This window comes from Homo sapiens, chromosome 6, assembly GCF_000001405.40.
Source record: "Homo sapiens chromosome 6, GRCh38.p14 Primary Assembly".
Classification (NCBI taxonomy): domain Eukaryota; kingdom Metazoa; phylum Chordata; class Mammalia; order Primates; family Hominidae; genus Homo; species Homo sapiens.
This window is the reverse complement of record NC_000006.12, coordinates 156,393,929-156,418,803: the sequence shown is the minus strand read 5'-3', so window position 1 is coordinate 156,418,803 and position 24,875 is coordinate 156,393,929. Positions and strand designations below refer to the sequence as shown.

The window sequence follows — 24,875 nt, the reverse complement described above, 5'->3', positions numbered from 1 at the left end:
TATCAATGAATTGTAAAACAGATGAATCATTGTATTTCTTTTAAGCAGGGCAATTGCATGTTATAGCCTAATGGAGGCTACTTTTGACCCACTATTCCAGGCATGGAAATAGGTTTCATCTTGAATGTCACCTCTGATCTATTAGTAGTGACTGACCATAGCACTGAGATCAGGATTAGGAAGCTACTTCTAGGTCAGAAGTTAGGAAACTTTTTCAGTAAATGGCCATATAGTATATATTTTAGGCTTTCTGGGCCATGTGGTTACTGTTGCAACTACTTAGCTTTGCTGTTGTAGCATAAAGACAATAGGTAAACCAAAGGTTATGGCTGTGTTCCAATAAAACTTTACAAATAAAGGAAGCAGTGCCATAGATACCTGCCCTTCCTTCCTTCTCTGCAAGTGGATACAGCATTCAGTGAAAGAGTTCTGATCATAATTCTGATTATCGGTCAGTGTATATAACCTAGGTATGTCAATAGAGGTTTTAGGTAAGAATCAGCTAGTTGTTCTCTCCATAAATTAACACAGCCCACAATTGCTTATCTACAATTTTGGGATCCAAAAAGTCTAAAGTTTTTTGTTTCTAATTTAGTGGCAAAACCTGAGCTGACTTGGACTTCTTTGGCAGGCAAACGGACCCAAGTGCACATAAGGCCCTTGTATAATCTTTACTTATCCTGCTTAATAGGACATTTGATATGTTGTGCCGTTTGATTATAGGGTGCTGTCCAGACCCTGCTAGGAGTGTTACAATACTGAAAGGGATTTATACCAAATCACCTTTCTGAAATACCAAAATTTCTGAATTTTGAAACCATCTGACACAGAATTTCTGATAAGGGATTATGAATGTATAAACACAAACTCCCCTTTTTCTTTTGTGCTGTGTAGATGGAAGAACATTGCCAAGAAATGAGTGTCTGAATAACGACAGTGAATTAGTCTAATCAAACAATCTGAACGATTACTAGTTATAATGGTGTGATCAGCTTAATCACCTGTGGTAATGAAGAGTTAAGCTTCTGATTTTAAACCCAAGTGAAGCCGGGAAAATCAACATTAATCTTTCCCATAATGACCTTTTCTCCTTTCATGTAAATGTATTTTGACAGATAGTGCTGTTCCTGGCACGTCCATCTGTATGAAGTGGTACAAATCTTTTTGGTCAATAATTGGCTTCTACAAACCTGGTTACCCCTGCAGGTGTGACCAGGTATGGCATAGTGCTGTGAATTTCAAGGGCATGTGTGAGTTATTGAGTCTGATTAGGTCTCAGGGCCCCTCAAAGCCAGAAATGAGAAGACCCTACTATTGCTCTTCCACTATCTAGCTTGTCACGGGCTTGCTTCTTGCTTATCCATAAAATCGGGCAATTGACACACAGGTGGACTACTATCTTTATACATTTACCACCTTTTATCTACTGCTATTCCAGAATTTACTATTTTTCTCTTTCCACTGGACCATCATTTCTTTGAGAGTCAAAAAATATGTTTTATTCACTTTGTAGTTTTAGTCTTTAAGCACAGAAGTCATTATGTCTGTTGACAGATGGACAGATCGAATGCTCATAGACTTAAGGACTCATAAAAGGGACCTCACAGGCCATTTTCTCAAAGCTTTCTATTTTATAGATGAGGAAACATAACTAGAGAAGTTAACTAGATACTCCCATGTACTGGATACTATTACCAAGTGCTATCCTAACACTATTTCATTAATCTTTCGATAGCTCTATGAATTAGATACATCACCCATAATTTTAAAAATGAGGCAGGTGAATCTCAGAAAAGTTAAATAACTTGCTCAGAAGCAGTGCAGACTTGACCCATGTTCTATCTTACTCCAAAGTCTTTATTTTTTCCATAAGATTATAGGATCTTGCCTGCCTCTAATGACTGATAGGTGCCCCTCAATCCTAGGATGTTCAATTAATTTTGATCCATATCCACTGTAGGATATTAAGAGAAGCAAAGCATGATTCCTGCCCTCTAGAAGTTTACAACCCAGAGGAGAAGCAGACACATGCCACTTGCATGACTGCCATGGCTTTTTAGCCATAATCCTTGCTTTGGCCCTCTTTTCCTTAAAGACTTTTGTCTGCACAGCACCTGAGTGATTCTGTTGATGACTAAGAAGACCAAGTCTCTTCTCTGCTCTAAGCCTTCCAATGGCTTCCCATTTCACTTGGAATAAAAGCCAGACTCCTCTTGGTGGCTTATACAGCCCTCTGCAGTCTGTCAACCATTGCTGCTCTGACATGGTCTTGTATCACGCTGAACACCTTTAAAATTGCAACCCCTCCCACCCTTCATGCCTGGCACATAGCAGGTACTCAAATATTTGTTAAATATTGAATGAAGAAAATGTATTATGTAGTGGAATGCAATTAGTGCTACAAAGATACTTAACTGAAGTGCCATAGGAATACTTTCTCCTTAACCATGTGGGATTCATAATTCCTCTATTTGATGAGGATCAAATTTCTCATCAATCATAAAAAGGTTGGCTTGGCCGTGTAAAGACAGAAGATGTTATGCTAGAATTAACAGAAAGGAATATTCTTCAAAATATTCGTAGGATTGGGTACAATGTGATTATCCAAATACAAGAAATTGGTAAAATTATGGACTATCTGATGAATGAAAAATGATGCAGTTAAATAAAAAGAATAGTCTTGCAGAAGACTAATGATATGGAATTATGTCATTTTATATTATTAAGCAAAAATCAAAAAAGCAAGTTATAAAATAGTATAATCCATTTTTGTATGTATATTTCAAGTAAAGTTTAAAATTATTTTCATGAGTTCTTAACCTGTTTTATGCCATGAAGTCTTATGAAGCTTATGTACTTCTAAAATTAATGTTTTAAAATGCATAAAAAATAACATAACAAAAGAAGCTAATTATATTTAAATGCTGCTATGTTTTGAATGTGTTTCCTACAAAATTCAAGTGTTGCCAATGCGATAATATTAAGAGGTGGGGCCTCTATAAGGTGATTAGGCTGTGAGAGCTCCTCCCTCATGAATGGGATTAAGGCGTTTATCAAAGAGGCTTCATGCAGCATTTGGTTCTCTTTCCCTTCTGCCTTCAGCCATGTGAGGACACAGTGACCTTCCCCTCCTGAGGATGCAGCCCTCACCAGACAACTGAACGTGCTGATGCTTTGATATTGGACTTCCCAGACTGCAGAACTGTTAGCAATTTCTGCTCTTTACTAATTACCCCATAGGTGGTGTTCTATTATAGCAGTACAAATGAACTAAGACAAATGGAGTTACAAAATGTTATAAGACAAATTTTTAATATAATTATATACATGCTTCTTAATTATCACACCAAATGAGAATACACTTAAGTACAGGTATACTAAAGTTCAATTTCATCTTTAAGGACAAATCAGTGTGAAGGCCATTATGACTCAGCTCGAATAAGAACGTTAAACTGTAGAGTTAGAGTGGTCTTTACCAAGGAAACACTTGTTCGTGCTGAACATCCAGTCAGTTTTGATTTCTTTTTGATTGTTAAAAGTGGCAAAAATAGAAATTTACAAAGACCTACTTTTGTAAGTAGAATAAATTGCTTCCATATCTTCCTTTACGAGATGAAAATAGGCTCTCTTAAGAAACACTAGAATTCTTCAAGTCTCTTTTTTCTTTCCAGATCTTTGATTTTTTTCCTTATATGTTAGTTTTTTAAAAACTATGATATTATTTACAGACCGCGAAAAGCACAATCTTAAGGTATAGTTCCATGAGTTGTGGCTAATGCCTAATCCTAATTCCTTCCCCTAGATCATTTTCTGATTTCTGTTCCTGTAGATGACTTTTGCTTGTTTTCAGCTTTTCACAGATGGAGTCATAGAGTATGTGCTCTTCAGTATCTGGCTTTCCTTAAGCTTATTACTTTTAAGCTCCCTTTATGTTATTGTATGTAACAATTGTTCATTTGTTTAATTGCCAAGAAGTATTTTATTATAAACAAATTATTTATTCTCCTGTTGATGGACTTTTAGGCTATTTCTCGTGCATGGTTAGTATGAAGAAAGCTGCCATTATCATTCTTGTTTAAGTCTTTTTTGTAGAACTACATTTCAATTTTGAGTAAATTGGGTAAATATTTAGGAGTAACATTGCTGGGTTACAGGACACATTTATATTTAACTTTAATACAAACTGCCAGTTTTTAAAAAACAGTTGTGCATGTTTTTTTTTTCTCTTTCACTTTTTTTTGATTAGTCTTGCTATGTACTATGGTTAATCGATTTAACTATTCACTTTAAGAAAAAATATTTTGGCTTTGTTCATTTTTCCTATAACTTGTCTATTTCTAATTTTATTTATTTCTGCTATGATCTTTATAATTTTTCCCTTCTGTTTACTTTAGGTTTTAAGTGCCATTGCTTTCTACTTTCTTTCACTTTAAGGTGGAATTCTAGATGATTAATTTAAAAACTTTTAAACAAATATAAGCGTTAAAGGTATAATTTTTCCTCTAAGCACTGCTTTAGGGGCATCCCATACATTTTAATATGTTAGATTTACATTATTGTTCAATTTGAAATATCTTCTAATTTCCCTTATGATTTTGTCCTTGATTCATGGATAGTTTAGAAGTATCATGCGCTATTTCTAAGTATTTGGGGGAATTTCTAGATTTTAAAAATTGATTTCAAATTAAGTGCATTGTGGTCACAGAACATACTTTGATTTCACTCCTTAGAAATTTATTAATATTTGTTTTTCTCATTTGTTCTCTTCCTCATTTGTTCTCTTTTCGCTCTTACATGTCCTTTTAGAGTTAACCTAGTTTTTTTTATACCATTTAATCTCTTCCATTAACATTTTAGCTATATCACTGTATTTATCTCCTATTACTATTAAAACAGAAATGGCTTAAAACAACACAAATTTATTATCTTATAATTATGGAGGTCAGCAGTTTAAAATGAGTCTTACAGGGCTAAAACAAAGGTGTCAGAAGGATGGCTGCATTTCGTTTGCAGCCTCTAAGGGAGAATCTCTTCAATTCCTTTTCCAGTTTCTTGAGGCTGCCCATATTTCTTGGCTCATGCCGTCTTCCATCTTCAAAATGAGAATACATTACAGTATCCCCCCTTATCCACAGGGGATATATTGCAAGACCCCCAAATCCTATATACATGTCACTGTGTTTTCCCCTATACATGCACACCTATGATAAAGTTTAATTTATAAATTAGGCACAATAAAAGATTAGCAACAATAATAATAAAATAGAACAATTATAACAATATGTCAGCTTCACTACTCTTGCGTTTTTGGGCCATTATTAAGTAAAACAAGGCTTATTTAAATACAAATACTGTGACACTGCAACAGTTGATCTGATATCCAAGACAGCTACTAAGTAACTAATGGGTGGCTAGTGTTTACAACTGATATACTGGACAAAGGGATGATTCACATCCTGGGTGGGACAAAATGGGATATTGTGGGATTTCATCATGGTACTCAGAATGGTGTGCAATTTAAAACTTACAATTTGGAATTTTCTATTTACTATTTTTGAACCTCAGTTGACTACGGGTAATTGAAACCACAGAAAATGAAACCATGGATAAGGGAGGACTACTGTAATTTGTCTTTGTCTTTGGTGGGGGTGGGTGGGTTGTATTTTCCTTATCTTTGGTTTTCAGCAATTTGAATGTGATGTATCGATGTGAGGATTTTTTTGTGTATATATTTTTGGGTTGTGTTGAATTTCTTTGGTTCTGCGCATTTGGAAATTTAGAAAAAATTTGGAAAAAATGTCATTGTTTCTTTAAATTTTTCTCTGTTACAGGTTCTCTCTGTTTACTTTCTTAAATTCCAATTTCACATATGTTAGAGTACTCAATATTGTCCCACAGGTCACTGAGGCTTTGTTCATTTTTTTTTTTTTTTTTTGAGATGGAGTTTTGCTCTTGTTGCCCAGGCTGGAGTGCAATGGTGCGATCTTGGCTCACCACAACGTCCACCTTCTGGGTTCAAGCAATTCTCCTGCATCAGCCTCCCAAGTAGCTGGGATTACAGGCATGCACCACCACACCTGGCTAATTTTGTATTTTTTAGTAGAGACGGGGTTTCTCCATGTTGGTCAGGCTGGTCTCGAACTCCCAACCTCAGTTGATCCACCTGCCTCGGCCTCCCAAAGTGCTGGGATTACAGGCATGAGCCACCGCGCCTGGTGGCTCTGTTAATTTATTTAGTCTATTTTCTCTCTGAGTGTCAGTTTCCTTAGTTTCCTTTTATTTGTCTTCAAGTTCACTAATCTCTTCTTCGGTGTCCAATCTGCTTTTAAGTCCATGCAATAAAAATTTTATTTCAGACATTTTATTTTTCAGTTCTAGAAATTCCATTTGTTTGTTTTAAGTAGTTTCAATGTCTCAGCTGAGATTTGTGATCTGTTCAGTCATTTGTCTGCCTTTTCTTTTACATCCTTGAATGTATTTACAAAATTAAAAAAAAAGTTTTTATCTGTTAAATCTAATAGCAATGTCATCTCTGGGGCTATTTATAGTGATTTTTTTCACTCCAGATTATGAGCCACACTTTGTTGCTTTTTCATATGTCTAGTATTTTTACTGGCATGCTGGATGTCATAGATGCCAAGCTGTTGATAGTTTAAATTATGTTCTTTACCTCTAAAAATATTGTGTTTTTTTTTCCTGCCAAGCAGTTAATTTAAGGTGTGCAGTTTAATTTAGAACAACACCATTCTAGAAGTGTGAATTTTCTTAGGTCTTAAGTGAACGCCCAGAGTGTTTATCATGAGATCTCTATTTGCCTGGTCAGTAGTCCATTTCCCATCATGGTGAAACCTCCAGATTAGAGTCAGTACCCAAGTGGCTCTTTTATACTAGGCTTCTTGGAATCTTTCCCTGAGCATGCACAACTTAGTTTTTATCCAAGATTTATTGCAATTGACCCCATGCAAATTTCTAGGGATCCTTCATTGTCCATCTTTTCCTGACCTACAAATTCCAGTTGCCTCAGTATCCCCAAACATTGAGATTGTGTCTGTTGTCCAGTGAGAACACTGATTTCTGTTTTGGCTTCACTTTAATGTGCTGCACTTTGGAAAAGTGCTTCCAGGCAGAAAACCAGGGTGGATGTGGAGCTTACCTCATGAGTTTCCCTTATCTCATGGATCACAGCCTTCTGATATGTGTGGCCAATGGCTGGAAATAATTGCCTCGTACACTTTGTGAAGCTTAATGGTTGTTTACCATGCAGAGTACACCTGATCTCCATTACTCTATGGTGGCCCAAACTGGAAGTCTTTCATCAGAGCTTTTGAGTAAAGTTCCAGTGATGAGAACATTCTACTTCACTGCTTGGTGGCTAAATGTGGTTAATTTTGTGTGTCAAATTGCCTGGGACATGGGGTACCCAGATTAAACATTATTTCTGGGTGTGTCTGTGAGAGTGTTTCTAGATGAGATTAGCATGCGAATTGGTGGACTAAGTAAAGCAGACAGCCCCCTTCAATGTTGGGAGGCATCATCTAATCCATTGAAAACCTGAATACAACAAACGGGCAGAGGAAGGGGAAATTCGCTCCCTCTGCCTAACCTCATGAGCTGAGACATTGGTCTTCTTCTGTCCTCGACTGGGACTTACATCATCATCCCTCTGGTTCTCAGAACTGTACCACTGGCCTTCCTGGGTCTCCAGCTGGCAGACAGCAGATTATGGGACTCTGCAGCCTCCATAATTACATGAGCCAATTCCTTATAATACATTTCACATACATATTGTATATATGTAACATATGGTTATAATGTATACACACATATATAATGTATATGTAACTATTTATAACTCTATATATTTATATATAACTATAACCATAACTGCATATGTATTTCCTATCACTTCTGTTTCTCTGGAGAACCCTGACTAATACACTAAACCACCACTAGGTGGTTTGAATAAAATAGATTTGAATAAAATAGGCTACTATGTCACATGTAATATATCATATATCTATAGACAGACACTATTATTACATGTGATTTTGTTATAGGTCTAATAATACAATTTCAAAATATTGGTGAGTGTCAGTGATGCACTAAGATATTTGCAGCAACTGTGATGTGGTATGAAAATGTATGATTTTTATTGATTATAAAGTAACAGTCTTTGCTATTATTTCTGTGGTTCATAATTTCTATTCAAATTGGCTTCAAGTTCATTGATGCTTTCTTTTTTTTTTTTTTTCTTTTTTTTTTTTGAGATGGAGTTTTGCTCTCGTTGCCCAGGCTGGAGTGCAATGGCATGATCTTGGCTCACCACAACCCCCACCTCCCAGGTTCAAGTGATTCTCCTGCTTCAGCCTCCTGAGTAGCTGGGATTACAGGCATGCGCCACAACGCCCAGCTAATTTTGTATTTTTAGTAGAGACAGGGTTTCTCCATGTTGGTCAGGCTGGTCTCGAACTCCCGACCTCAGGTGATCAGCCCACCTCGGGCTCCCAAAGTGCTGGAATTACAGGCGTGAGCCACCTCGCCCGGCCCGCCATTGATGCTTTCTTCTTCAGTGTTAAATTTGTTATTAAGCCTATCCAGTGATTTTTTTCATTTCATATATTGCATTTTTTAGTTTTAGAAGTTCCATTTGGTTCTTTTTTTTAAGTCTCCATTTCTGTTAAGTTTCCCTCTCTTCCAATGCTATTGTGGTTTGTTGTCTGCATTGATATTTAAGGGAAATGCAAAATTTCAGTAAGAATATAAAGACGTATTTTTCCTTTCCAAATTCGTGGGGCACCGGGATATAAAATGTTAATAGTGGTTACATCTGGGTGATGATTATGAGAGGTTCTTATTTCCTTCTTTGTTCCTTTCTGTTTTTCTAATATTTCTTCAATGAGCACTTATTACTTTGTAATTGCCAAGACTAAATATAACTTAAAATATATCAACATCCAAGTAATATGTAATAAAATATAATATTCTTCTAAACAATATTATGTAAATATTAAAAAGATGTTGCATGATTTTGTATTCATTATATTCCAGTTAAGGTAAAATGATTAAAAGACATGTTAAACTGATGGTAATTTTTCTTAAAGGTGGAAAACTAGAAAAAGTCAATATGATTAAGTATCATATCAATATTTATTATAACTTTTCTAAATTTTAACATGTTTGATATTCCATCAATGAATCTATTTAATATATTAAAAAATCACTGGTTTTTCAGAATGAAAATGTGTATGAATAGTGTAACTGTAAGTACTTTATGATGTGTCTCTATGCCTTATTAGTCTAATGCATTTTATTTTGCAGTGTTGAGATTTGTAATAATTATGTCTTGTCATTGAGAGGAGATTTTTGACTATTCATTACAATTAACTATAAGTGTCTAACCGGATTATTTAAAAGTAGGAGTTACTTCATGGTAGTAGATTAAGATCTTGGTAAGTGAGTATTTTTTCCTTCAGGACATTTATTAAATCACCATTATGTGGACTAAGGTCATAAGCCAGTAACAGTTAACTTCCAAGTTACACATTGTCAAAAGAGCCACTATTACTTAAAATAAAATAATCCCACTTTGCTTTAGCTGTGTTTTAAATTCTGCCGATCCTGGGCTGGGCAGATAAGATAGATACTGAAGGAGGCAGAATTCTAGATAGACAGTGAACTCTATTTAAAAACTGACCTATTTAAAAATGCAAAAACCAATGACAGGTGAATGTAAAATGATCCCTTCAGCAGCAGGATTCCAATAAAAAGCACAAAATCATTTCTCTAAAGTTGAACCCTATTACCACTTGGGTTCTGGGGCAGCTTGTAGTACTCCAGGGCCAGCTCATGTGCCCCAATCATCACCCTAAATAGAGGAAAAGGTGGCTCCGCCCTGGGTCTCACCTCTCCTGTGCCTCACTGTCCTGTCTCTGGGCGGTGATGTTCCACAGTACATCACTAAGAGACACAGCTACACCCCCCCAGGCCCATTAGTCTGTTTATTTTACACATCTGGTGCACACATTCATTTCTTGATGTGAGGAAGAAGGCTTCCGTCTTCAGCCAGGGCCCAGTGATTTGTAGGACATTCAGTATTAATTGCTCACTATTTTGGGAACTTCACATATCAATTTGACTGTGCCATACAGTGTGATCATTCACTATGAATGTGTTTGAAATATTTCCTTGCAGTGGCAACTGCTAAAATGAACAGATATTCCTTTTTATCATAAAATGAATTATAGCCTAGATCTGTAGGCTTGAAAGAGGGTAGGTGGAGTCACTGACATAAATAAGAAAGGAAAGAGGGATTTTCATTTGTTGAAGTTAGTTTTAATTTTTTAAATTTTTGTGGGTACATAGTAGGTGTATATATTCGTGGGGTACGTGGGATGTTTTGATGCAGGCATGCAATGTGAAATAATCACATCTCAGAGAATGGGGTAGCCATCCCCTCAAGCATTTGTCCTTTCTATTACAAACAATCCAATTACACGTTTGGTTATTTTAAAATGTACAATTAAATCATTATTGATTATAGTCACCCTGTTGTCTGATAAAATAGCATGTCTCATTTATGCTTTCTATTTTTTTGGTACACATCATTTGTTGAAGTTTGCTTGAAACACCCAGCAACTGTTGGTGTGATTGTAGGGACCACAGATGCTTGGTGTCTTCTACGATGGAGATGTGTCAAGTCCTCGGAAACACCATTCTGTTGTGGTTGGCTCACTGAGTGTGTTGAGGCAAGTGCCTGCAGCTTGCCGATCTAGGCTTCTCTCCCGGGGAGGCCCAGGACAATCAGGAAGTCTGGGCGATTCCTGGGGTTTCAAGTCACTTATGTCACAAACAGCAGAAGCTGCTTCTGTGGTGTATTCCTCTCTACTGTACTCCTGTCACAAGAACTTTCCAGAACTTATGTCAGTGCACAGATTTCCAGAATCCCTTGTGGACCCCTCGCCTATGTTTCTTTTCTCCCTGTTGGCCTCACAACCCAGGCCACCTCCTCATTCTAGGTTCGCCACAAAAGAGGGTATCCTGTCTCCTAATCTGAATTATTCAGACTCCCCTTTTTTTGATTAAAAAGTTGTTTTGCTAATAAGCATAGAGAAATAGATAGCTACTGTATAAGATAACAAACAGGGAACTTGTAAGAAATCTAAAAAGCGGGGAGTAATGGGCCTCCTTGTCCTGGTCTACACAGAAATGAAGAGAAAGTGGGGCAGGCTATTTCTTAGCTCTTGTCTGCTTTTTTATGATGTGTTTCTTCTCTTCTGAGTCATTTCTGGACTCAGAGGAGTACCCCTTCCCTTTCGTTCTTCAGGTCTAGTGAGTCCTGAGTTTTCCCTATTGCATATAACAGAGTTTATCAAGCCATGTGAGTGTAGGAACCATTTGAAGCACTTGGTAAAAATATGGATCAAATGGCCCCATCCACGATGTAGAAAGTCAAAGTCTCCAGAGGAGAGACCCTGATTTTTGGTTTGAAGTAACTTTCAGGTAATTTATATTATTAGACAAACTTGGGATATACTGTATAGGCCTGTCTATAGGATCCAGAAAAAGTCCCTCTCTAATTTTTTTTTGCAAAGATATCCAAATGTCAAACTGGATTACAGACTATTAACAAGAATATGAAAAAATCCTGTAGTGTTATTATTCAACGTCGACACACACCCATATTGTGGATTTTTTTCTTTTTCAAAAAAATCCAATTTTCTATTTACTGGTGGGCCCTACGGTAAGTGGGATAATGGTGAGGTTGCACCAGAATGCAAATGAGGTTTCTTTCTAGTTCGGAGGAAATGCTAGACTCATTATTTCTGCTCACAGCTTGCAACCTTCCTCAAAAGTTCTGGAAGCCATAAATGTGTGTCCCTGAGGCTTTTGGTCAGCAAAAAGGCATGAGGGTGTGTGTCTCATAAAAGAGCATACCTGGTGTGATCTCAGCCTTGTATGTGAAAATTCACAGGAATCTCTGTGGGAATATAACTCTAACTGTAACCCCTGGGCTTAAGTGATCCTCCTGCTTTAGCCTCCTGAGTAGTTGTCCAGGAGTTTGAGGCTGCAGTGAACTATGATCATGCCCCTGCACTCCAGCCTGGGCAACAGAGCAAGACCCTGTCTCTAAATAAATAAATAAACAAACAAATAAATAACCAACTCTAACCAGTGGTGAAGAATAGATTTGATTTTCAGTCTTCACAGTTCAGTCTTGATTAATTTGTATTGATATTTTGCAAAAAAAAAAACAGGCATTATCTTTATTTTAATAACTAATACAAATTTTTAAAAAAGACTTACATTTGCCTTTCTCAGTATTAGTGGGTTAAAATTTCTCCATTTTGTAGAATCCAACATAGCCATTTGCAATTGATAACAGAGCACAGCTATGAGCATCCCTCAGCAAGCTGAATTTGCCTGTGTGTTTTGTTCTTTTGGACCACGCAGGCATGGTTAGATTTCCTGGGACTCTGCTTTCCTGTGTCTTTTCCATAAGCCGGGCAGAGCCCTTGCTCCTCAGGAGGGCCATTCAGGAGGGCTGGGGGCCTGCCCAAGTAGGGCTGCAGGACTGGCCTGCTTTGAAGCAACCCATGCATATTAAAAAAAACAAAAACCACCAAACTGCAAATGAAAACCATCTTCCGCTATCTAGTGCAAATAACAAAGTGCTCTTTTAATTGTAGCTGTTGCTGTAATTTAAATGGAAAGTATTTTACATCCATTTTTCTCAAACTGCTCTGATCACAGTAGTTTTCATTTTGTCTTAATGTAGCAAACATATCTGACTACTTAATTTTGCTCCTTTTTATAATATAGCACTTTACATGTAAGCATTCCAGGCTGCTCTTGTGTATTTCCAAAGCAGAAATAGACTGACTAAACCTCCTTTAGTTATGCTGTGACTTTTAAAAATTAAACTGTACTTCCAAATGACTTACTTCATTCAACTCGAAATGAAATAATGGCTTTAGATGTCTCCTGTATTTTAAATTTAGATGGAAATTAAATTCAACATAAACCACATTGGGTATATAATAGTCAAATATCATTTTAAGAGATTATTATTTGAATGGATAATTTTCTCAGGGGCTACTATTTGTAGCTAAGTGAGCAACAGTGGGTTTTGCCCGTCCTTATTAATGCATAGGTAGCTTTTCTTGTTTTCACAACCATAAATAAAAATCTTTTTCCAAAGAGAGAGACAGATAGGGAGAAAAGTTCCCACTGGAGTATTGTACTTTTCTCAGGGGATGGATACATTTATCCATATGTTGTCTTAAAATAATAGCATGTGCATTGTCCATATAGTGGCTGTTGATGGAATGATTTTAAACTCCTTTTGAGGTAATAATTTTTTCTGTAAACTTTTTGTGTCAGGCTTAGCAGTGTTATTGGTAGGTCCTTAAATGATCATAGACTTTGTCCTCAGTAAGGGGTGGTGAAAATATCATCTAGGAAACAATATTGGAGGGGAGGCCTGGCCTTGTTGTTAGCCTCTTCAACTTGATGCAGTCCTCTTCAAATTACTCTCACCCACACCGTCCCTAAGGTCTGGGCCAAGATATCTAACGCGTTTTGGGGAAAATCTGTTGAAAAGGCTTAGTACTTCCCATGTAAACACCACTCAGTCATTTCATTTTATAGCTTTTGTTATAACCTTAAGATGCTCTATTATGACTGTTTCTATTTTAATTAAAATTTATTTAATGCTTACAAAGTATAATTAAGAGCAGTTTGCATTGTTGGACACTGATGAAATATTATCTAAGAAAAAATCTTGGAGGGGAGGCCTGGCCTTGTTGTTAACCTCTTCTACTTGATGTAGTCCTCTTACACTAGAAGGCCTGGACTTTTATCATTTTTCTGGGCTCCTTGTGAATTTGGGGAAGTTACTTCACATTTTCAGGGTTATGCCATTCTTATTGGAAAAATGAAGATGATACTGCTTACTTTATCCATTATGAACTTTGTTTTTTTCCCCTGTACATTGAAGTAGCTCACCTTCTCAACTTATCTTTCCTCCACTGTGTTCTACCATACAGGATTATTTTAAAGATATGAAATGACAAGTGTAAAAGTATCTTTAAACCATCTATAGAATGCAAAGCATTACTTTGAATATATTTGACATAGATTGTTGCCAAATTTTTCCAAGGTAGGATTCTGACATGAAAGGTGGAGAAGCAGCTATTTTTATAACTCTTGAAAATTAAGCTCCACCTTTTTCAAAGAGGGGAAAATACTCATTAAAATCAATTAGGACCTGGGTATTTAAGAAAATTCCTCAATGTTTGGTTTTTAAAATGGGTCCCCAAGGGGATTTGGCCGATAGGGAGTTTATAGCAAAGGCTTTAGTCTGTAGCATGGCTTAACTTTTTCTGGATTTCATAAAAAAATTGCTAAGCAGCTAACAAATTTCCTGAACTGTTTGGATGCAGATTTTGCCCACATTCTAGGGTGTAAGATGCCTATTTTTATAAAGCAGGACATAAAGGAGATAAATAAAATATCATTCCACTAAGGTTTGTTTTTTCCCTTTTATCCTCTCCAGCTCTTTCCAAGGGTGTTGAAATCTGCCGAGATTTATTTTGATGAAGGTAAGTTGCTTCTAGTTATCAGGCAGTAAAGATGTTCTGTTATTGTTTACTATTTTGGCAGCTCTGAAAGGTGCCATCTGAACACCGTGGTTATAAGGCAGAAATAATGAAAAGCCATTTTTTGCTAGTAATGTCCAAAGCTTTGATTTACCTCTTCAGAAAGCAAAAGATTTATTACTGACACCTAAGGTGGTTTTGAAAGATAACAGGTCATGGAGCCATAACTGTGAGAGACTTTTGAGATTTGATCTGGGAGCACTGGGTTAGTATAAGGAGGAGAATTTTCAGAGATGTAGACCATGGCTACTCTGGGGGCGCCTACAGAGACATGACCACCAGGTATTGAGGTCCTGGCCAAGAAGTGGATGTGTGGATTAAGGTCATAACCTTGAGTTGCTCTTCCAAAAATGCCTGTGTTGTTAAATGTGGTATATGCACTGCAGAGGCAGTCAGTGGCTTGATTATACCTATATAGAACTGAAAACCCTGCACTAGCAACAGTGGAATCTACCTAGCCACTTATGTGATCTTGAGCAAGTTCTCTGCACTTTCTGGAGCCCATCTGTATTAGTCCGTTCTCATACTGTTATAAAGAGCTATCTGAGATTGGGTAATTTATAAAGAAAAGAGGTTTAATTGACTCACAGTTCCACAGGCTGTGTACAGGAGGCATGGCTGGGGAGGCCTCAGGAAACTTACAATCATGGCAGAAGCAAGCACGCCTTCACATGGTGGCAGGAGAGAGAGAGTGAAGGGGGAAGTGCTCCACACTTTTAAACAATCAGATCTCGTGAGAACTCACTCACTATCATGACAACAGCAAGGGGGAAATCTGCCCTCATGATCTAATCACTTCCTACCAGGTCCCTCCCCCAACATTGGGAATTATAATTTGACATGAGATTTGGATGGGGGCACAGAGCCAAACTATATCACCATGTGATGGATCAGTGACCACTGAGATGAAATTCCTCAGATGAATTCATTTTATATAAATATGCATTAATTGACCCTCTAGACATTAGGGATCTAAACAGGCTCAGTTCTTGTGATGGTGTGGTTATGAAAGGGAATATACAAAGCAGTGAATATAGTAACAGACATATTGAGGAATGGATATAGCATGAGGGACACACAGGTTAGGAAGCCATTTTATTTAAGGGTAGAAGGACCAGCAGAGGAAGTTAAAGAGATTACTTTTGAACTTAGTCTTGAATGATCTGTCCAGGAAAAAAAAGGCCAACAGGGAAACAAAGGTGTTCTGTGTAAATGGTCAGATAGTAAATATTTTTGGCTTTGCAGGCCATATAATCTCTATTGCAACTGCTATACCCTTACATTGTAGCATGCAAGCAGCAATAGTAAATGACTGGGCATGGCTGTGTTTCAATAAAACTTTATTTAAAAAACAGGCAGAGGGCCAGATTTGGCCTATGGTTTTTCATTTGTTGACTCCTTCTGTAGAAAGACAATATAAAAAGATGAACTTTATCCAGTATTAAGATGATATCATTGTAGTACTTTTTTCAACTTTAGAGTTTAATACACATGAGTTCACAGATTTACATATGTGTGTGTATAAACCTGAGGGAGTGCATCAAAATAAACTGTTCAGATCCCTACAGCACTTACAATTTCCAGGCATGCTGGCCTGGCTTCCACCTCCCACACTTACACCTCATTGCCTGAAGGTTTTCTCTGGCTACCAGAGCTGTGAGGCCCTGCATGGGGAGGAGGACAGGCCCACTGCAGAACCCAGATGACTCTCCCCTCCTTATGTTATCAACCAATGATTGACAGTACTTGGTAGATAATTATCACAGCTACTTTACCCCATGGGATAGTCTCAGCTTGAGCTGAGATTAAATGGAATGTCTCGAGCTCCTCAGTGGGATTAAGGTCCCATTGCCTGCAGTTGTCACCTGCTCCACAACACACTCCTTATTGGCTTCTTTCCTTCTCTGTCTGATGTGCCCCTTCCCCTGCAAGGCTATGGGCACCTCCCAAATCACTTAATTGTACCCAAATCCTTGTATTAGCATTTGCTTCTGGAGGAATGAAAACCGAGACAGTATTTTGGATCTGGAGGACATAAAATAAACTCTACATGTGAATACTTAGGAACTCCTGATTCAGAAATGTTTCAGAAAACCTTTCTTTAAGTAGGGCAGCATTCCCTCTGTGGAACTGATTGTGGAGGATTTTATCTGGGTGCAGAGGCCTTATAATGGAAAACATTTTTCTTAACTATTGACAGACTTGCCTACTTTTTGGTGAGGTTCTATAGCAGAAGCCACTCGTCCTCCCTGACTCTCCCTGTTGCTGCAAATGGCATCCACCTGGCCTCACCTCAGGACCTGCATCTTTCTCTTTTCCTCTCACTTTTGGAGGTGCTAGGCTGGGCACAGATGCAACCTGGACATGCTGAGTTATCAGGGTTCAGGGAAGTTTGGAGAAATGAGCTCCCTGAGATTGACTGGAGGCAGAGATAGTGTATTAATCTGTTCTCACGCTGCTATAAAGAACTGCCCAAGACTGGGTAATTTATAAAGGAAAGAGATTTAATTGACTCACAGTTCTGTATGGCTGGGGTGGGGTGCCTCAGGAAACTGACAATCATGATGGAAGGGGAAGCAAACACTTTCTTCTTCACATGGCGGCAGGAGAGAGAAATGCAGAGCCAAGGGGGGAAAATCCCCTTATACAACCATCAGATCTCATGAGAACTCACTATCACTATCATGAGAACAGCATGGGGGAAACTGCCTCATGATCTAATTACCTCCCATGAGGTCCCTTCCCAAACACTTGGGGATTACAATTTTGATTACAATTCAAGACAAGATTTGGGTGGGGATACAGAGCCAGACTATATCAGATGGGATTGCAGGAGATAAGTCTGGATAGATTGGAAAGGAGGATGTTGTCTGGCTATGAAGGGCCCTGAGTGACTGGCTGAAGAATTTGGATTTCATTTTGTGTTTAGAGTTGAGCCACGGACAATTTTTAAGAAAGAGTGGTGACAGTGTTCAATAACATTCAATAAGTACTTACCACCTACAATGGACTGGGAATTGTGGACTGTACAGCAGGCTGTGCAGGAAGTTGCTGAGATTCACCTCCTTTAGGAAACTTTTTCTGATTCCCTGTCTTGTCTGTACCCCACTATTCCTTCTAATATAGCACCTCTAGCACTTTAGTGCATTTATGAAATTACTGCCTGTCTCTACCCCTGCTGCCTGTTTTATTCACCCCACATCAAGCTTTGTGTTGTGTATAGTTAGCCACAGTCAAAGGTCTTCTCCCCAGTTTTTTCTAAAACTGACATTAGGCCAATAAGCACATTGAGCTCAGCCTTCAGGGGGGAGAAGTCATAATCCGCCACCATGATTCTTGAGAAGGATGGTCCTCTTAACCAAAGAACATTGAACATCTTTATGCTGATGCCCAAGAGCCTCAGAGAAATGTAAGCACTATTCAGTGGAACTATTCTTGCCTTCCTCCACGAGATAAATGGCTGAGTCACCGTTCTACCCTCTGGTCTAGTGATTCCCAATCTTCTTTGAGTAAGAGGGACTCCATGAAATACTTCACTGCGAAAATTCTCAAACACACACAAAAGTATTAATAGTGAAAATAGTAATAATGAACCCTTATAGACACTTTACTCAGATTCAACATTTATCTAGAATTTTTCATTCTTGTTTCCTCTATTTGTTTTCCAGCCATCATCTCTTCTTTTAAGTTAAATGTACATAGTTTTGGTGGAGACACTGAATTTGAACATGTGTTCTATTCTTAGAGTGCTGGTTCTAGTCTTTGAAGATTTGGCTTGAAGGTTAAAGCATCGTGAAAAATAAAACTACATGTGTAAACCTGCAGTCTTTTTACCCCTTACAGCTTTGACCTTATTACCCTGAGCAATAAGTCTAACCCTTTCTCCTCTGTGTATTGAAACTAAAGAGTAAGTAGTTGATTCCCACTGTTCTTCCCACAAATTTTCAGCAGGGGTAGGGCCAATTCACTCCTTGTTTTAGGCTTAAAACTCCCCCTGAAGTGCAGGGATGAAGGCTGGTGTGTAACTGAAGTCGCTGGATATTGTGTGCATAAGGTGGGAGAGTGAGTTGAATTTCATGGGCTTTTCTGAAGCTTTCTGTCTTAACTAAAAACGTTGGCATTTTCTGGGAAGTTGGCTGTATGCTTATTGAGAAAGAGAGACTTCTCTTCAGTACAGTGTGACATTTCTACAAAAATCAATGATTTAGAAACAGGTATCTGAAATGAAATGTGCAACTTCACTTTCCATTTGTTGGAAATCCTGCTGGGCTGGTTTTGAAATCTTCATACATGTGCGGTATACCTTTAGGGGGTGAAAATTATATTGACTCTGCACTTTGGAACATGTAACAAATATCTTTTGCAATGTGGCAAAAAAATAAAGCAACATCCTAATCCTATATTTCCAAATTGGTTTTGTGCTAGTTATTTAATTTATTGTTTACTTTTGGTACTAGTGTTTGTTTTTTCCTTTTATCTTGGAAGCTTTTTATCTTTATTAGACTCAGTTACCTAATCCAGTAGAAGGGATGGTAATGAACGTGGCACACTGCTACCCTATCCATGTGTCAAGTTGAAACCTGCTATTTGATTATCAGAAGTAGTGAAGCTTATAGGAGCATGATGATGTTTTAAATTTGATTTTTTTTTGAAAATTAAAGAAGCCAGGTACTAAATATCAACACAATGAAGAAGGAGAGGCTCAACCCACTTTGAAATCCAGCCCCCTTCCCCACCAAGGTGCTCAAGAATTTCTGCATCTTCTTTAAAGTCCTTAAAAGGATTAACTTCTAAAGGGACTGATAAAGGAGGAGAGAAAAATAAGAAAGTATAAAAAGACTCTAATAAAAACTCAATACAGGGCTAGCACTTAATTCCATCTCACAATAACAAGAAGAAAGCATAATGGAGATTGAGGAGCAGGGCCATTTACATAATAACTTCCTAGCAACAGCTGTAATGAACAAATACGGGCAGATGAGTCAATTACCTGAGACACTACCTTACATCAGAGCTTAGAGAAAAGGGAAAAAGGAAAGAAACAATTAAATAGCTGAGATTCCCTGAATTTGGGTTATATCATATGTAGTTTCAGACCTAATTGCGTAAAACTAATTAGGCCAAAGAGAATCCACCTGATGAGACAAATATTGTCACCATCCAGGGGCAGGCAGGGGTGAATGGGTGCTTACCTTTCCTGTTAACGGGTGGGCTTGGGCTGGTACCTGTGAATATTCTGGCTTGGCTTGAACATATTTAACGTCAAAATCATCCTCATCCTCCTTCTCCTAATCACCATCACTGCTGTCATCTGTTGAGTGCTCCCTAACTCTCCTACATAATATCTCCTTCAACCTGCATAATATTCCTGTCAAAGTAGATAAGATCATCTCCATGTTACAGATGAGGAATCTGAGGCTGAGAGCAGGAAAATTACCCAAAATCTAATGGTTAATAATTGAAGTGATGATAGTTCATTTTTATTGAGCACGTGGCGGGCACCACGCTAAGTGCTTTGCATGGATTGTCTGAGGTTACTACACTCACTGCAGATGAGGAAACAGAGAGGCAGGGAAGTCAGGTCACCTGCCCAAGACCACACAGCTTCTGAGAGCAAGAACCAGAACTTGAATTCAGGTGGTTGTGTCAGAAGGTGCGAGAATTAGGATTCAAACCTAAATATACTTAATGCAAAGCCCATGCTGGTACCATTGCAACTCCCTGTGGCCATGGGCACTTGCAGGGCAGAGGCAGCCATGCCAGCCAAGGATCGTGTGACTTGTGTTTCTTTACACACACTTCATGGATGTAACAAAAGTATGGTAGTCACACTGTGCTTCTGTCAATTGAATAAGGTGATTCTGAGGCACAGTCATGGAGGATTTGCCTGTATGAGTGTGCATTTGTGTACATATGTGTGTGCGTGCTTCCTTTTCCTGCAGTACTTCAACTGGACAGGATTGCATGCTCCAGAACTTTCTTTCAATATTCCCTTCACTTAGGGAATCTTTGCCCCATTCAGATAACAGACTGCAATCTGGGAAAATACTTCATGCCGCAGCATTAACACCAAAGAATGTATCAAAGGCTTCTCTTTTCTAGAATGGCACACTAACATCTTTTATTAGGTGCAGATGTTTTCTGCGCTTTAAACAAAATGAGCGACTACGTGTAGAAATTCAGCCTCCTTGACAGGGAGTTGGAGGTCTCCTCAGGTGCATTGTGTATGTATGTATGGTGGGACTGAGTGAGGGGGGCTCAGAAAGGATTTTTTTTTTGGGAAAGAGAGAGACGCTTCTTTGCTTCTGAAACTGTCAAACAGACCCAGGTTTCTCGTTCCACCTACATTGTGATCCCCAGGCCTCATCCTTCCTCCCTCTGGGCTAGCAGGAAGATTTAAGGAGGGGCATGGATCTGGGGGAGACGTAGCCGGAGGAAAGTGGGTCAGTAGGCTGAGAGGCAGGGGACGCATCTCGATTCCATTTCCTGGATTGTGCCCTTTGTCAGACTTGCCTACAGACAGAGGGCCTGTGTGTTCCAATTTTGCAGAATTACCTTCCCTGGTTGGAACCCAATCCCCCAACCTCAAGCTCTGCAGACATCTTCCCTGATCAATGTCCTGTCCTCTTTTCTCTGTCAAGTTGTTCCTCCTTCCCGAGCTCTATTGTGATTTGGGGCACCTGAGGAATTAACTATTTCTCTCGTGTCTTTGCCTAACCACAGGTGAATGTCTCGACCCGCTTTTAAGCTGGCTCCGCCCTCTGGACGCGTTCTTTTAAAGGTGGGAGCTCCGACGGAGGGCCCTGATTCCGGCCTCGCTACCAGCTGGGCTGTGTGGGGGAGCGAGGCCTAATAACCCAGGGGGCGCTGGGCGGGAACGGCGTGGATCCCTCGGCCTCGCACACCTGGCTCCTAGTCCTCTCGGCCGGGCCGGTGATCCTCTGGTCGGGGGTGGGGGTGGGGGGGGCTTGCGGCAGCTCACACCTGAGGCCGTTACAAAAGGCCTGCAGCTTAACTCGCTGCAGCTCGGGGGGATGGATTGCCTACTAACTGCAGGCGCCGTGGTGCGCCGAGAAAACAGCGAAAACTGGGCCAGCGGAGGCGGGTGGGCCTCCTTGGAGGAGCGCACCTGGGGTGCGGGAGCGCCTCCTGGCAGCCTTGGCCTCGCCTCCCACGCGTGGACGCGCAGGGCCCAGGACACCGCAGCCGCCTACTCCTTTCTGCAGCCCCGGGGTCTGAAGGTAGTTACGAAGGAAATCTTTTGTAAAATGTTCCTTTTTCCTCCTCTACATTTTCTTTCTCTGTCCCTCAGTAATCCCGGTTCAGGGGTTAGCGTCCCTCACTAATCCCTGGATTTAAAAAACATTCTCCTTTTACACCCAAGCTTCAATTGGTAGAACAGAGAGACAACTGACGTCGCTTTTGTTTTGCCAGCTTTTGTTTCCGGTGCATCAGAAACTTTTTGCACCTGAGACATTATGAGATTGTGCCCCAGCCGGTTTCTAAATTATTTCTAGGTGAAAAAATTTTGCAACCTACCTTTGCAGTAAGAATTCCCCCTACCCCTCCTTTAGAGAAAGTACTTGACAGTGAATAACATCCTATATTTATAGACCAATGATTGCTACATTTCATACCGTGTAGGTTTCCTTCTGAAACCTCAATCACATTTGGTTACTGTGGTAGGGGTTTAAATGTAGCAACTAATGGGCTGTGGCAGCAGGCATTTCCCTACCTCTCCTTTTATTGAACCTTTAAGTGGCAACTGTGCTTCTCTGGGTAAGAGCAAGGCTTTGAGATTGCGTTCCATGGGTTAGCTCGGTTCTTTAGCGAAGATTCAGAGATCCTGAATTGCATCAAGAGATGCATTTGTCGGTCTGGGTTTCAGATAAAAGCATGAAATCTCACTGACTTGCTGAACATTGTGGTTTTGAATCGGGGCTTTGGAGATGAAGCTGTGAAACCTCCCAAACCAAAGTTCCTAACAGAAATCACCAGCTGTGATTTACATATTGGCTTTGCCACAAAGTTTTAGTTCGACTCTGTTTCTGTTGTTATGGTGTCTTATGAATATTTTCTGATATTTAACCCAAAGCCCTCTTGCTGTTTCCAAACTGGTTACCTGAGATAACTGAGGCACTTGTGCTGCTGTTTGGACGGGATTACTTCATGTACTTAAAGGCTGGCCATACTGCAGACTAAATACATCTGGTATCACCCTCTACTAAGTTTTTAAAAAGTCTTTGCTGAATGAAATGCAAAAAGAAAATGCAAACAATGCTTGGGCTTTCCTTTTCTTTTCCAGGCTCTCTTTACAACTCTTGCAAAGATGTCAAGACATATTTCAGTATTCCACCAGCGAGGTTACAGTTTTATTAGTGATGGCCTTGGTTCACACCATAAATGTGAATTTACCATTTTCTGTTGGCTTGACTGACCTGGTCATGGCCAGACCAAAGGAAGCTGTGTAGAGGATTCGCTCTGATGAAACATTTTTCCCCTCCCTCACAACCCCTTTCTCCTATAGAAGGCAAAACATTCTCTTTAACTGAAAATGGTGGAAAACATGTTTGTTGTTTTTCCTTTGAATGATAAAAGAGAATTAAGTCAGCTGGCAACAGGTGCAAGTTCCACCCTGTGTGTATGGAGGAGGCACCAGCTGACATGGGCGTGGGCATGTGTATTTAGGGCAAGCTGAAACTATAACCACCACCGCCCTCGAGCGAAAACAGTTAGAATGTTTGCAAATGTTTGAATCACCACCCAGAGTTTCACAGGTGACATCTTTACTCCAGAGACCCTTTTTCTAGTCACACAGGCAAAGAAAAGGAAAGGAAAAGGAAAGGGAGAATATAGAACAGATGCGGTGATTGCCCAGGGCTGGGCACTTTAAGAACTGGCTATTTCAGGCCGGGCGCAGTGGCTCCTGCCTGTAATCCCAGTACTTTTGGAAGCTGAGAGGGGGGTGGATCACCTGAGGTCAGGAGTTTGAGACCAGCCTGACCAACATGCAGAAACCTCGTCTCTACTAAAAATACAAAATTAGCCAGGCCTGGTGGCGGGTGCCTGTGATCCCAGCTACTTGGGAGGCTGAGGCAGGAGAATCTCTTGAACCTGGGAGATGGAGGTTGTGGTGAGCTGAGATCGCACCATTGCACTCCAGCCTGGGGAACAAGAGCGAAACTCTGTCTCAAAAAGAAAACCAAACAAACAAAAAAACTGACTTTTACAGACTTTGTGAAACTTTGTCTTTTCCTCCATGCTTTAACAGGTAAAAAAAAACTCTCAGGTGATGGGGAGTCAAAAACGAAGCTGGCATCTTAGACATTTTTAAATAAGGTGTTTTTCTTTTTACACCAACCATACTACATGTAGCAGAGGTTGCTTAAGTCTCCTTTAGAAACTTAAATATGGCATAAGAGAGCCTTGTTTTAATTACTTATAGTGCAGAAATCTCTTCAACTGCTAGTTGGAATCTATGTAAACATCAGACATCCCATAAGTTTTTGATCTTGAACACGGCTGTGATTGAGTATCCCAAATATGGCATAAGAGAGCCTTATTTTAATTACTGAGGTAGAAGCCTTTATCTACTTATCATTAAAGATGTTAGTCCTAAGGAAAGTTCTTATCTTGGAGACTTTGATAGCTGTTACAAATCTTGCAAATGCTATTTTCTTACACTGTTTTTGTCAAATCAAATTTCATTTGGAGTAATAATTCTCCATCCTGGTCTTCTGATATCTCAGGGTGCCTCTAATTCTTTCATTTGGTACTGAAAACTTCTTAGTTTACAAAACCTTTCACAGAACTTTCTGATATAACACATCATTTTAAAAAAATCACATTACTCTTGGCTCAAAACTTTTGATGGTTTTCCATTGAGCTTTGAGTGTTGCAATGGAAAAGGATCATCAAAATCCAGTCTCCTGCTGGATAATATAGAAATGATCTCCCCAACCACCTTATTCTGTCCCCTTCCCATCACCTCTAGCCACCAGCACTTCACTACCTCATGCAGTAATATTGGACAGTGATTGTTATTGGACAGTTTGAGGTATTAACATGCTTATTTTTGTACTGGGGCAAAGCTTGTACCAATTGAATCCAATTTTGCCCACAGGAACAAACATCTGTCTTTTAGATCTGGTGGTTCCTCCTATGAGAGAGAAGACATTAGTCTGTCTTCCCTTATTCTTCTCCAATTCAGGATCGGAG

At 39.3% G+C, this 24,875-nt stretch overlaps 4 annotated features.

Annotated features, from left to right (window-relative positions):
- Positions 21,239-21,768: an enhancer, noted in NCBI's record as "H3K4me1 hESC enhancer chr6:156718170-156718699 (GRCh37/hg19 assembly coordinates)". NCBI's record gives its function as "activates a minimal SCP1, AML or CMV promoter by ChIP-STARR-seq in primed H9 embryonic stem cells {active_cell/tissue: H9 hESC(primed)}" and the evidence as "EXISTENCE:reporter gene assay evidence [ECO:0000049][PMID:30033119]".
- Positions 21,769-22,299: an enhancer, noted in NCBI's record as "H3K4me1 hESC enhancer chr6:156717639-156718169 (GRCh37/hg19 assembly coordinates)". NCBI's record gives its function as "activates a minimal SCP1, AML or CMV promoter by ChIP-STARR-seq in naive H9 embryonic stem cells {active_cell/tissue: H9 hESC(naive)}" and the evidence as "EXISTENCE:reporter gene assay evidence [ECO:0000049][PMID:30033119]".
- Positions 22,581-22,630: a silencer, noted in NCBI's record as "silent region_17705". NCBI's record gives its function as "represses an Ori minimal core promoter by ATAC-STARR-seq in GM12878 lymphoblastoid cells {active_cell/tissue: GM12878}" and the evidence as "EXISTENCE:reporter gene assay evidence [ECO:0000049][PMID:35858748]".
- Positions 23,272-23,381: a silencer, noted in NCBI's record as "silent region_17704". NCBI's record gives its function as "represses an Ori minimal core promoter by ATAC-STARR-seq in GM12878 lymphoblastoid cells {active_cell/tissue: GM12878}" and the evidence as "EXISTENCE:reporter gene assay evidence [ECO:0000049][PMID:35858748]".